General features: G+C 47.7%; 3 annotated features.

Moving 5' to 3' along the window:
• Positions 2,285 to 2,364: a silencer, noted in NCBI's record as "silent region_2930". NCBI's record gives its function as "represses an Ori minimal core promoter by ATAC-STARR-seq in GM12878 lymphoblastoid cells {active_cell/tissue: GM12878}" and the evidence as "EXISTENCE:reporter gene assay evidence [ECO:0000049][PMID:35858748]".
• Positions 9,802 to 10,303: an enhancer, noted in NCBI's record as "H3K27ac hESC enhancer chr10:129659871-129660372 (GRCh37/hg19 assembly coordinates)". NCBI's record gives its function as "activates a minimal SCP1, AML or CMV promoter by ChIP-STARR-seq in naive H9 embryonic stem cells {active_cell/tissue: H9 hESC(naive)}" and the evidence as "EXISTENCE:reporter gene assay evidence [ECO:0000049][PMID:30033119]".
• Positions 10,729 to 11,928: an enhancer, noted in NCBI's record as "MED14-independent group 3 enhancer chr10:129660798-129661997 (GRCh37/hg19 assembly coordinates)". NCBI's record gives its function as "activates an origin of replication core promoter dependent on BRD2, BRD4, P300/CBP and CDK7 cofactors, and independent of MED14, by STARR-seq in HCT116 cells {active_cell/tissue: HCT116}" and the evidence as "EXISTENCE:reporter gene assay evidence [ECO:0000049][PMID:35650434]".

Genomic DNA, 14,185 nt, shown 5'->3' on the forward strand with positions numbered 1-14,185 from the left:
CGGGATCTCCGGGCCCCCAGGAAATGGGAGCATCCAAAGCAGCATTGACCACAAGGGGCAGGGAGGAGAGGCTGGAAAGGAGGTCTGTGCATAACGCCTCCGATTCCTGGTAGAACCTCACAACAGCTCGTTGACGGCGGGTCGGTGAGCATTTAAAGAGCAGCAGATTCTCATTCAGAGGCAGTGTGGTTCCATGGAAAGCAAAGCATTTCAGTGATGCGTGCTTAATTCAATCAGCTTACTTTACGCAAAAAGGATCCAGTGCCAGGAGTCCCCGGCCTGTCATGAAGGGTGGGGACAACGGTGTCCAAGAGCCACAAATAAAATGCCAAGGGAATGCTGTGACGGGGGCCCTGGAGGGCTTTGTGGAGGAGGTTGAAAGATTCTCAGAGCCTTCAACAATGCTCTGTGGAAGAATTTGGGAGGTTACATTGAAATGGTAGGTGGGCGAGGCTGGGGGAAAAAGGGAAGATTTCCAACACTTTGGATCTACAAGGACACAACAGGTTTTGTTTTTTTAAATGGCTGTGGCTAAAATCAGCTTCCTGGTAGCATCATAAATGGGGATGGAAACCCTCATAAGCCTGGTGTCAGTGGTGGTGGCACCTTGGTGAGCAGGTGACCAAATGGCCTGAGTGGTGACGTTAATCTACCTGTTCACTGGCTGTTGCCAAAGCGAGGCCTATTGGGACAGGTTTGCATTTCTTCTTGGCTTCTAAGACCAGGTTATGACAGACATCCTACAATGCAGGAGGAGCTGGACAGGAGGACAACATCACACCTGGCCCTGCCATCCTCCATCTCCAGAAGCCATGGTCCAGCAGGGAGATGCACGACTCATGGTCTTCCACGCTGAGTGGAAAAGCCATGGCAACGCGGGCACTGCCAGGGGTTTCAGGGTGCTCTGCATCTGTTTCTTAAATAAGACTGTCTTGTTAATCCTGAACATTCCAGCTGCTTTTGTCACAGTGTCCCCGGACAAGAGGGAGCCTGAGAGAGACTTAGAGATCAGGAGAAGCAAACCGGCCCACAAGTGTGATGGATGCTGTGTCAGAGTGTCTAGGATCCAGGAGCCCCGCTCTCCCCTTAGAGACGGATGCAGTTCCGTGCACACAGGCCCTCTTTCCTGTGTAGGGGAGGGGCATGCTGTCTGCACATGGCATGCTCCCTCCTGCCCAGGGAAGCCAACTGCCATATTAGCAAAGATGGTTTGAAAATGAACAAGAATCCCAACTTAAAATATATATATATATGCAGTCATTCCTTGGTATCCGAGGGGGATTGGTTCCAAGACCCCCATGGTAACAAAATCTGCAGATGCTCAAGTCCCTGATATAAAATAGTGTCGTATTTGCATAGAACTTACACAATCCTCTTGTGTACTTTAAATCATCTCTAGATTACTTATATATATCTAATACAATGCAAATGCCAAGTAAATGGTTGTTATACTGTCTTTTTAGAATTGGTATTATTTTTCATTGTTGTATTGTGATTTTTATTGTTTTTTAAAGTATTTTTTATCCTGGCAGGGTGCAGTGGCTTACGCCTATAATCCCAGCATTTTGGGAGGCTGGGTCACTAGACCCTAGGAGTTGGAGACTAGCCTGGGAGACAAAGTAAGACCCCATCTCTACAAAAAAAAAAAAAAAACGCTGGATGTGGGGTCGGGCACCAGTGACCTCAGCTACACGGGAGGCTGAGTCAGGAGGATTGCATGACCCAGAGGTCTAGGATGCAGTAAGCCGTGATCACACCACTGCACTCCAGCCTGGGTGACAGAACAAAACCCGTCAAAAAAAACAAAAAACAAAAAAAAACAAAGAAACATAAAACTGTTTTTTAATCCGAAGTTGGCTGAATCCATGGAACCCACAGGTGTGTAGAAGGACATCTCCCACAATGTTAAGTCATCACTTACCAGTGTCAGCTTCCTGATGTGGCTAAGTTTAGACACACACGCGGGCTCGCACGAAAGATCCTAATGTCGAATAAATTGGGGGGAAAAATCAGTTCAGCTAGATGGACAGATTCCTGGAAGTCTTAGTGTGCACACATGTGCTGTGCCTGTGCAGGAGGGCAGTGGGGAAGGCAGAGCCCCGTGTGAAGGGACATCTTTGACAACAAGAGCATTTCCAAAACCACCGGGGAAGTATGCATGTGCAGCAGGTGGGTTTCAGTTCCCTCCAGCGTCTCACATGCTGGAACGGTCTCTCCATCAGCTCTGACCCAGGCCCAGAGGCCTGACACTCCTGCTGAGTGCTCAGGTCCTGGTGGCACAAGCCTTCCCCAGTCCTGCAGCCTTCGGGAAGCGGCGGTGCCCAGGGCGCAGAGCTCTGGCGTTGCACTCATGGGCTTATGCTGCCCTCTAGTGCTGTGCTCTTGAAATAGCTGTGTGGCTTTGCCACTTAAAGCTGATGCGGAATCTAGGGCCTCGTGGGCCCTCTAAAGAAACTGCCTCATTGCATCAAAATCAATGCCCTGCTCTTCTAACAGACGCTCTCTAATGCCCTGTAATGAAACCCATACAGATGATCACCTATCTATGCTCCAAATCGCAAAAGATAAACATAATGTCTTAACTTTAATATAAAGTGGAAGTATAAGAACTTAAAGAAAAGTAGCTTTTATAGCATGGAACTTGTCTTGCAATGAGCTTGACCTACACTCACCAGAAGCAATTTCTTAAATACCCACTCAGAGGTGACACTGCTTCCGCTGAGAAACGCTCGTGGAAGGTCGGGCTGGCCAGCCTTGCTGTAAAGGGCCAGGTGGTGCATACGCATGGCTTTGTGGGCCATAAGCTCCCAGCCACACCTACACAGCCCTGTCATTGTGACGCAAAGGCAGCTGCAGACAGCAGCAAGTGAATGGGCATGGCCACATTCCAACAAAACATCATTTGCAAAAAGAGGCAGTTGGCTAGATTTGGCCCAGAGGTTAATGATTTGTGGATCCCTGGTCTAGAGCATCCCCTTCGGTTTACAGATTGGGAAACTGAGGCTCAGCGTAGAGGAGGGGATAGTGGTCACGACTAGGAAATTAGACCCTGAGCCAAGTCCACTGGCTCCAGCCCATCCATCCCAGCTCTTTGGCCGGAGCTCTGCGGGCTGTGACTCAGGTGGTCTCTCCTCAGGTGTACGGGGGAGGTTTGGTGACCCCAGGGATGATCCCAGGGAAAGGAAGGTCTGTGTTGGGCTTTCTCTGACAACGGCAGTTCCCTCCCATGCCCCCCGTCCTCCCCAGCTCTGATTCATTCATTCACTCAGGTCTCCACTGAGTACCAACCTGTGTCTGCCCACCCTGCAGTCATTCCTCCTGGCCAAGCAGCCTGTGCTGATCACAGCTCCCAACCCCTAGAAAATGAAAATAAAGATATGCAAATTACATCATTAGATTCAACAGGCAGACACTCGGTCAAATGGCTCTAAAAGTGTCTTGGCTCTCAGTTCCTCTTCTTGCTGCATGGTGGGATAGCAGATCCCGTGATGGGCTCCAGCACTAGCTCCAGGGCGGCCAGGCTGGCTCGTGGCCTCATGGAGGTGGGGACCAGGCAAGCTGGGGCTTGGTAAGGCTCCTGGCAACCCAGGGCCCATGGGGTGGCCGAAAGGGCTGTGCTTGTGTGTGTCCTTGTCCTCAAAGTCACTCACTGTAGCATCCCCTTGTCCCCACAGGCCCCTCTTCCCCGCAGGAACTCTCAGGATGGGCCGCCCCTGCACCACTGGGCTGAGAGGACCAGAGCCCAGGAACTGTCTGTGGTTCCAGGGTTGGGGAAGCTTCCAGTCATATGGGAGCTCATAAGGCCAGGACCCATCTCTTCAGCTAGGCTAGGAGGCCAGTCTGGTCCCAACCTCCTGGCTCCTTACACTGTCCTCATCCTGGGGGCCCAGGCTAACAACCGGAGTCAGATCCTGGAAGGAGGGTGTCTACTGGGGGTCTAGAGGCATGGAGATGGCTCCTGCAGGGGCTGGAGCTGGCTGAGGTCAAGGGTTCCCTCGGGGCCAGGGAACAAGCACCTTCTACTAGCCTCTTGGGGACCTGGAAATAGCAGACCAGGGCCCACAGACCTGGGCACTTGTCTGGCCCCCTGGATTTAGCCCCATGGTAAGTTGGGGAGGCTGAGGATTCACTTTTGTATCCTATTGCTGATGGAGCCTGTCAGACAGACACAGCAGGGATCTGTGATGGCCGCGCTCCAGAAACCCAGGAGCAGGTCTCGGGGCTCTTTGAGAGGCCCTGTGGTGAAGCCAGGCTGGGATCATGAATCAGCCGGGACAGGCAGGGAGGATCTGGGATTCTGGAGCAGGAGTAGTGGCCTAGAACAGGAGGGGGCCCAGCAAGCCCAGGTCCAGGCCCCACATTTGACAGAAGGAAGCAACGCTGCCCCCCAGGGGAGCGGCCTCCAGAATTTCAGGAAGCGTCAGTGTGTTTGTCTGCTTGGGCTGCCTTAGCAAAGGTCACAACCTGGGAGGCTCCAAGCAACAAAAGTTTACTTTGTCACAGTCACGAAGACCAGAAGTCCCAATCCAAGGCATCCGCAGGGCCATGCTCCCTCCGAAGCCTCTGGGGGTGAAGTCTTCCTTCCCCCTCGGGCCAAGCCCCGGTGCTGCTTGGCTGGAGGGGCATCGCTGCACTCTGCCTCGTCTTCACACACCTCTTCCTCCCAATGTCTGTCTTCACTCAGCACTCTCCTCTATATGCGTCTTCATGTCCAAATCTCCTTCCTCTTATGCAGACACCATCACATTGAATTGGGGGTCCACCCTACTCCAATATGATCCCATCTTAACTCGACTAATTATATCTGCAATGACCCTGTTTCCAAATAGGGTCACATTGACAGGTGCCAGGGATTGGGGCTTCACCATTCCCTTCTAGGGGATGTCATTCAGCCCACACCAGCACAGCACTCCCCAGGTTCCCCTGAGTGGGGCAGGCGTTCCCCGGCCTCAGGCTCATCTGTGGAACACAGGCCCTGGGACACACCAGCTAACTCAAGAGTCTCTTCCTGGACAAATATACAAGGGTAGGCCGGGCATGGTGGCTCATGCCTGTAATCCCAGCACTTTGGGAGGCTGAGGCGGGCAGATTGCCTGAACTCAGGAGTTCGAGACCAGCCGGGGCAACACAGCAAAACCCCATCTCTACAAAAAATACAAAAGTTAGCCAGGCATGGTGGTGCGCGCCTGTAGACCCAGCCACTTGAGGGGCTGAGGCAGGAGGATGACTTGAGCCCAAGAGGTTGAGGCTGCAGTGAGCTGACATGGTGCCACTGCATTTCAGCCTGAGTGACAGAGCAAGGCCCTGTCTACAAGAGTTCTCTAAAACCTACTAATTCTCACTGTTATGGGCAGGCTTCCAAAAAGAAGCAAGTCAACATCTGTTCATAGGTAACATGGCACTGAAGGCAAAGGCCATCTCTCATTCACCTTTGTGTCTCCCATGGTGCCTTGCAGATGCTGGTGGGCCAGTGGCTCACCCCAGAGGCCCTGCAGGTGCTTTTTAAAGGAGTAGTGCCCAGGGTGGGAGTAGTCTGAGACTCCCCATGGATGGGCTTCTAGAGTAATCTATCTGTTTACTCATCCCTGTTTCTGAGGCAAATGTTTCTCCCTCAACGAAGGTTCTTTTTCTACCATGATGGACTTTCTGAAATGCAAAGCCTCTTCATACCTCTGGTTTTCATCCTTTGTCGACAAAAGAGGTAAAATTTTCAAGACTTGTTGGAAAACTTGTGCCATTTGCAGATGAAGGAGGTGAGAATTAGTTGAGTTCTTAAGAAATCTAGATTTCTGCTCAAGCTCTTCAGAATAGTAATTCTTTACCTTTTAAACAAGATTTATAAAATTACTTTAGAACTGTAAAAATGTTTCTGAGAAAACACCAGAGGTGTTTTTAGATTTCTGTGTGTAATACATTCACCATTAATGTTATTCACAATGTTCTTTTTGGCACAGTATTCTCAGATTAATGCGATTATTTGTGAGGTTTAGCCACAGAACCTTGTTGGAAAACTAGACAGAGGATGAAAAAAGGGCTTCATAACACAAAGGTGAGACAACAGCATCCAGCCACAGTTGGCTGGAGTCAGTCTGGCTTTTAGACCTTGGGTGGCTCAATTTTTTATTTTCCTGGACCTTGGTTTGCTCATCTGTCCAATGGACATAGCAGCAGTACAGCCTTACAGGGCTCATATGGTGGTTAAATGAGAAACACAAGAAAGACACTTAGTGGCGTATGGAACAGCATTCTAACCACAGACTTCAAGGTCAAAATCCAGGATAGTGAAGGCCTTGGCAAGGGTGGAAGGGGATGGAACCAAGAAGGGGTAGGAACTCGACTTCCACGTATTCGGTAATCTTGATTTCCTTTTTCTCCCTCTCTCTTTTTTTTTTGAAATGGAGTCTCACTCTACTGACCAGGCTGGAGTGCAATGGCATGATCTTGGCTCACTGCAACCTCTGCTCCTGGGTTCAAGTGATTCTCCTGCCTCAGCCTCCCAAGGAGCTGGGACTACAGGCGTGCACCACCACGCTTGGCCAATTTTTGTATTTTTAGTAGAGGCGGGGTTTCGCCATGTTGGCCAGGCTGGTCTCAAACTCCTGACCTTGGGTGATCGACCCACTTCAGCCTCCCAAAGTGCTGGGATTACAGGCATGAGCCACTGCACCTGGCCAGACTTCTTTTATGTAAAAAAATAAAATAAATAAGAGGAGATGGTTAAAAATACAAATACAAATAAATAAGAGGAGATGGTAAAAATGCAAAATTACATCTGTAATCCCAGCACTTTGGGAGGCTGAGGTGGGCAGATCATCTGAGCCCAGGAGCTGAAGACTGGCCTGGGCAACATGGTGAAACCTCATCTCTACAAAAAATAGAAAAATTCTCTGGGTATGGTGGCACACGCCTGTAGTCTCAGCTACTCAGGAGGATGAGGTAGGAGGATCACTTTAGCCCAGGAGGTTGAGGCTGCAGTAAGTCAAGATTGCACCACTGCACTTCAGCCTGGACAACACAACAACAACAAAACAAATTTCAGTTAGACCGGAAGCTAAGTTCAGGAGCTCCACTGTGCTACATGGTGACTGTAGTTAATAACAATGTATTATATTCTTAAAAACTGCTGAGAGAGTACATTTTAAATGTTCTCACCATAAAAATAACCAGCATGTAAGGTAATGCATATGTTAATTAGCTTAATTTAGCCATTCCACAATATATATCAAAACATCATGCTCCACACCATAAATATATACAATTTTTATTTAGCAATTAAAAACATACAGGAAGAGAATATAGCAGACTCTTAGGAATGGTTTTATTGAGATGTAATTCACAAACATACGTAATATGTACAATTCAATGGTTTTTAGAGGTTGGTACAAAAGCAATTACAGTTTTTGCCATTAAAAGTAATGGCGGCCAGGTGTGGTGGCTCACACCTGTAATCCTAGCACTTTGGGAGGCTGAGGAGGGCAGATCACTTGAGGTCAGGAGTTTGAAACCAGCCTGGCCAACATGGTGAAATCTCATCTCTACCAAAAATACAAAAAATTAGCTGGATGTGATGGTGGACGCCTGTAATCCCAACTACTTGGGAGGCTGAGACAGGAGAATTGCTTGAACCCAGGAGGTGGCGGTTGCAGTGAGCCGAGATTGCACCATTGCACTCCAGCCTAGGTGACAGAGCAAGACTCTGTCTCAAATAATAATAATGCCAAAAAATGAAATTACTTTTGCATCAACTGAACATATTCATAGATATGTGAAGCTGTTATTACAACTTCAGAACACTTTCATCATCTCAAAAAGAAACTGTAACTTTAGCCATCTCTCCCCCATCTTTCCTTCTCCCCCAAGAGACCACAAATCTACCTTCTATTTTTCCTGATTTCCCTGTTCCACACTTTCATATGGATGGAATCATGGGAATGTGTGCATATGAATGGAACCATGCATTTTGTGGCCTTTAGTGTCTGGCTTCTTTCACCCAGCAGGATGTTCTCAAGTTTCATCCCTGTTGCGGCATGTATCAGCACTACACTCCTTGTTCATTGCTGAATAATATTCCATTGTATAGATAGATCACATTTTGTTTATCCATTTGTCAGTTGACGAACATTTAGGTTGTTTCTGTCTTTTGATTATTATGAATAATGCTGTAAACATTTGTGTATAAGCTTTTGTGTTGAAATGTTTTCAGTTCTCTTGGGTATACACCTGGGGGTGGAATTGTGGGGTGACAGAGTAATTGTTTAATGATTTGAGGGGCTGCCAGACTCTTTTCCAAAGAGGTCGTACCATTCTACATTCCCACCAGCAATGAATAAGGTTCTGATTTCTCCACATCCTCAACCACACTTGCTATTATCTGATGCCTTGATTCCAGCCAGACTCATGAGTGTGACGCAGTATCACTGTGGTTCTGATTTGCAGCTCCCTGGTAACTAATGTCAATGAGCACAGACTTTTAATATTTTAAATTCTGAGTGATGGAAATATGGGCGTTTGGCATATTATTTTCTGTATGCTTACACCTTGCTGAAAAATGTTTTGCTTATTATTTTGCTTAATAAATAGTAAGGAGGCTTAATGAAGGGAGGCTTACCCAAGTGTCTGTCACAGAGTGAGGCCTCAACAAATGATCATGATGCAGTTGGGACAGCAGAGTTAGGTCTGAGCAGCCTTGTCCATGCCCCGGGGCCTGCCCCTTACTCCCTGCCGGGACAGCCAGGGCAATTCTCAACTCAGGGCCCCCAGCTCTGATGGTCCCCTGAGCATCCACCCTCCCAAGACAGAGTGTCATTCACTCGCCGTCCTTGTAGCAATGCCCCAGAAGTCCCCTAGAGCCCTCTCCTGCATAATTACGATTAGCAAGGATTTTAAAATACCCTCCGAGTGCACTCCATTGCCGCCCATGGGTCCCCACAACCTGTGCAGTGCCACAGGCAAGTGAGGAAAGAGGACCCTTTGAAAAGGTCAGCACCAGGAGGGGGCCAGCAAGATGGTCTTCAGCAAGTCCTGTCCTCCTGACCAGACCTCCTGAGTTCCCAGCACTGTCTTGCCACCCCTGTCCCTCAGAGCCTGGTCCAGCCCGACTCTGCACCTGGTTCTTTGCCCTTCCCTTCTCCACAAAGATTCATCTGGAAGTGAGTCTGCTAAGGGGTTGCTCTGGTCATTCATGATCATCTACGGTGCCTTCTGCAACAGACTGAATGCTCATGGTCCCCTAAATTCATGTGAAATCCTGACCCTCAAGGTGATGGTATGAGGAGGTGGAGATTTTGGGAGGTGATTAGGTAATAAAGTCAGAGCCCTCATGAATGGGATCAGTGCCCTTCTAAAAGAGTGCTCCCCCACCCCTCCCCTCGACCCCACCCCACCATGCAAGGACAGGGAGAAGACACCATGCACGAGCCAGGAATCTAGCCCTTACCAGACATCAAATCCACCTGCACATTGACATTGAACTTCCAAGCCTCCAGAAGTGTGAGAAATAAATTTCGGTTTTTTAAAATTTCTGTCTATGGTGCTTTGTTATAGCAGCCCGCATGTCTTCCATGTCACGTGTACCATGAGCCAGTCCTTCCCGTGGACCTTGTGTAACCTCCTAACCACATCCCAAAAACACACTTCTGTTCCCACTCCATTTTACAGATGAGGAAATTGAACCAGCCTTAGGGAAAGCCAAGAGCATCCCTCTGCATCCTCTGGGACATCCTGGGATGCCCTGGGGTCAAAGAAGAGAAGCTGTTGCTACTAGGGGCAGAACCAGGGTTGTACTTGGGGATGTGTGACCCCAAGTCCCAGGTGGTTAAACACCACTCTGCTACTTTCTGTAGAGCAATATCAGTGCCTGACAATGAACTTTTTAAAATGTTTCTTGTTCCTCTTCACAATCTTTATTTCAAAGAATATAAAGAACGGCCTTGGACCCACTACTCAACCTCAGCAGGCGAAGCTTGATATAACATCTGCCATGTCCTCGCCTAAGATGCCTGAAGGAGAAGGTACAAAAGAGCTGGCAGGTACACCAGAGGCCCACAAGATGCCTGCTCCATTTCCCTTCTGAGCTAGCCTCATGGGGAAGACACCTAAGGCCTGGGAGTGCAGACTTCCAGAAGGCAGAGTGAGGAGCTTTACCCAGCACTTTTCCAGTCAGGTAGGAGGTGATATTTTACTTTTGCAGTAGACTGTACACTCATCAGCTCCAAGGGGAGAGAGTTCTCCAGCTTTTCTGCCTTCTCCCAAGTCACCCACATAGGATGGGCCCGTGGCAGCTGCTCATCACAGCCACCTCCTCTGGGGCAGCCTGGACACCAGGCTGTTGCCACTGATGGCAATGCTAAATCTTGCCCCCAAACACTGGCTTTTTATTTACTTTGGTTGAAGGGCAACAAAACATTATTGTGTGGCTGGAATCAGGCAAATTACGAGCACTCTGTACCTACAGTTGGCAACATTCCACCCAGCAGAAGGTCTTGGGTGAGAAAGCGGGATTCTTCCTGGGAGCAGGTGTCTGAGGCGATAAGAAGCCCGCTTATCAATTGGCTTTTCCTGAGTCTCTGGTCTGTATATTCCTGAAATGGAGGCAGAAGCCACAGTGAATGCTCTCATTCAGATCCATGGGGCTAACAAGCTCTTCCATGCAGAAAATTCCTCCCTCTGTCATCACCCTTTTGGCATTAGGGTCCCTTAAAAATTCATGGCTGTGTTTTTCCATTTTATTGAGTCTCCTTTGAAGGTGGCTGTTAGATTTCCTTTCTGCAGAGATTGGGTCTCAGGTAGGGGCAAGGCCTGTGCTATGCAAGCTCTTAGTGCCAATGGCTCAAACAAGTGGCCTTTGAAAAGCTTTATCAATCTTCCTCCTGACTTGGGCAGAGATCATCCCTCCTGAACCTGCATTAAATTGTCAAAAAATGATAAACAGCAGTGGGTGATTTCTGAGGGACCAGGTGGGTCTGGGCTGGCCTGCAGACCGAGGGCATATGCTGTTGACTGTCTGCCTACTGGGGCTTCTCCTCTTCATTCACCACTAGAATCTGTCCTCATCTAAAGGATAAATGTTTCCAAGTGTGGTCCGTTTATTTTCCTCATGCCCCACCACAGTAAGCTCATGCTTTTTACTCCCAAAGACTGGCTGCAGTGCAAAGTGATAGTTAAGAACAAGAAAATTCACTAGAGTTGCCCTTTGCAGATCCTTGTGAAAGATCCAATGTTTAGATCTGAAGTGAGCTCAGGGATCATAACATTCTGTCATGTGAGGAAGAAAATGGAGGCCCAAAGAGGAAGAGTCAAAGCTCAAGGATGCATGGCCAGATATTTGGAAGTCCCGCTGCCTCTTCCTCCCACCCCACTCAAGAACCACTGACTAATTCTCAGAGTCCCTAAAAACTTTCCTGCGTAGTCCACATAGTTTTGCCAGAGATGGTGAATTCCTCTTCAAAGGGTTTAATTGTGTAATGTCCTTGTCCTTGGTTCGGAGGCCCCATCTCCTTGTACTTTCTTGTTTCTAGCCTTTAAGCAGCCCTCCTGCTCTTGTTGTGCCCTGACTTGCCCAGACATGTCTGAACATGCCTTGTGCTGCAGCAGAGGGACCACTCCTGCCCCCTCCCTGCCTTACGAATCACATGTTTACCCTGTTTGGAAAAGTTTAAGTCTTAGCCAACTGGGGTCAGCTTAGATTGTGTGATCCAACTCCAGCCAATGGGGACCAGACACAGAACCAGGAACTAACCGCATTAGGGATAAAAACCCCTTCCCTCCTTTGTTTGGTGTGCTCTTGCAGTGGCCAGAATTGTGAGCGGCATACTTCTGCAGAAGTAAATTTGCCTTCTTGAGAAATCCTTTGTTTGAGTGCTCATTTTCCTTGTGACTCCGAGCTCTTGTTTCTAACAGTTTCCTTGGTGTCTTCTTTCTGTTCAAGTTCCTTATGCTCTCCTTAGGTGAAAAGAGCCTTAACCCCCAAAATGCAGAAAACTTCCGGGACCATCTTGGAAGACACCACTTGACACTAGAAATTGTGGTGAATTAACAAGGGGGAGGCCATGCTGTATGGATCACAGTTTCAGCCAACATTTGCCCCAAAATTAGTGATTTCAATGGTCTCATTTTATCCTGGTGATAACCTCTATGGTAAGAGGTGGTTTGTGTTATTGTTCTTGTAACCAAGTACCCCCATTTTTTCTAAGAGATAGTTTAATTATTCTTTCCTCTTTCTTTTTCTCTTTTCTCCTTTTCCACACTTCCTACTTCCTACTTAGCCCTTTAGAAATGCATATATAGCCTTTTTTACCTCCTTTTATTAGACACTCCCTACAGGGCAAGTTCATCTAACTATGTGCTTGGGAGCTTCAGAAGGGAACTCACCCACCAAGAAGTTGCCTCAAGAGATAACAGTAGATTTACAACTCAAAGTATGCATGCCCACGAAGACACCAGCCATCACTAGCTTGACTGCATCTACCAAGCTAACACATGGGCCCCAAAACTGCTCACTTCCCCCACTCCTGCCTCCTTGGACTCCCCGATAGCCCGCCTACCACATGCCGTTCATGTTAGGCCTCCCTTACAAGTGTTCACTTTCTTCTCCAAAAGCTAAATGGTACCCTTAGGCAGGAAGCTTATACTTATTCCCTTAAGCCAGCTTTAGAGTGAAAAAGCTACTTTCTTTATACCAGACCTCACTCTTGTTAACTGGATTCTACAAGTGATGAGCAACTGGACCAGCATTTTAGTCACATGCTCTCAGTTTTGCAGTTGAAATCAAACCCCCAGCAAGCTTTGCAATTCCAAGTTTACCCCTTTCCTATGATTCTGGCTAATGCTCTAAAACCTCCAGACCTTATGAAAAGTGAATTAATTTTCCCCATTTTCTGTTCTCTTCCTTTTTAAAAAGGAAAACGTTGAATATTGTTGCTAAATATAAAAGTAATGCATGCTAATTATGACATCATAAGAAATGCATAGTTGGTCTCTGTCCCTGGTTCCTGACACAAGCTCCTGAACTGCAAGAAATAAATTTCTGTTGGTTATTTATACTTTCCTGTGTGATAGGGGTGATAGGTGCATCTTTTGTTATAATATTTGGTCTCCGTCCTTCATTCCTAACACAAGAACTTCTAAGACCCTTGGAATCTCCAGAGTGATAAGTGTCTTTTCTCTACTAATGAGATGACTGCTGGCTGGGAGCCCATAGGGTCGCTTCGGGATAGGGGTGGGTCACCAGAAAGACCAAGGCCTGATGAGTGAATTAGGACTTTCAACCTCACCCCCAGCCTCCAGAGAGGGGAAAAGGGCTGGAGATTGACTTAATCATCAATGGCCAACGATTTAGTGATCATGCCTTCATCAATGAGGCCCCCAGAAAACCATCACATGATGGAGTTCAAAAAGCTTTCAGGTTGGTGAGCTCACCGAGGAGCTGGGAGGGTGCTGTGCCTGGAGACAGCATGGAAGCTTCTCTTTACCCTACCCCCTAGTACCTTGTCCTATGTGTCTCTGCCATTTGTTCCTAAGTTGTATCTTGGTAATAAACTGGTAATAGGGAGTAATGTGTTTCCCTTAATCTGTGAGTCATTACAGCAAATTATCAAACTAGAGGGGGGGAATGGGGGAACCTCTGATTTGCAGCCAAGATGGAGAGAAGTGTGGGTAACCTGGGGACCCACTACTTGTGATTGGTGTCTGAAGTGGGGCAGTCTTGGGAGGGTAAGCTCTTTAATTTGGGGAGTCTGCCCAGACTCCAGGTAGATAGTGTCAGAAGTGGATTAAATTGTAGGACACCCAGCTGGTGTCCCCACAGAATTGGGGAATTTGGTGTCGATAACTACACATTTGGTATTAGAAGCATTGTGTGAATATGGAGGACTTTTGTTTTAACAGGACAGTGTTAGGAAAAATTAAACCCAGTACGCCTCACCACCCAGAGGCACCTGTGTTAACAATCTCACTCCTGCCTTTTTCATACATCATATTGTACATATCATCTCCTCAAGCGTGATTTTCAGTTGCTTCGTCACATCCCATGCATGGATGTAACCACGTTCTCCACATCTCCAACTTCCATAACTGTCATTCTCCATAGAAACAGAGTAAAACATGGAAATTAGTTTCAAAGGCTTTATTAATATATAGATTCTTAGTTGCAAAATGGAGACCATCTTGGGATCTTAACCTTCCTTTG

The sequence above is a fragment of the Homo sapiens genome, chromosome 10 (assembly GCF_000001405.40).
Source record: "Homo sapiens chromosome 10, GRCh38.p14 Primary Assembly".
NCBI lineage: Eukaryota > Metazoa > Chordata > Mammalia > Primates > Hominidae > Homo > Homo sapiens.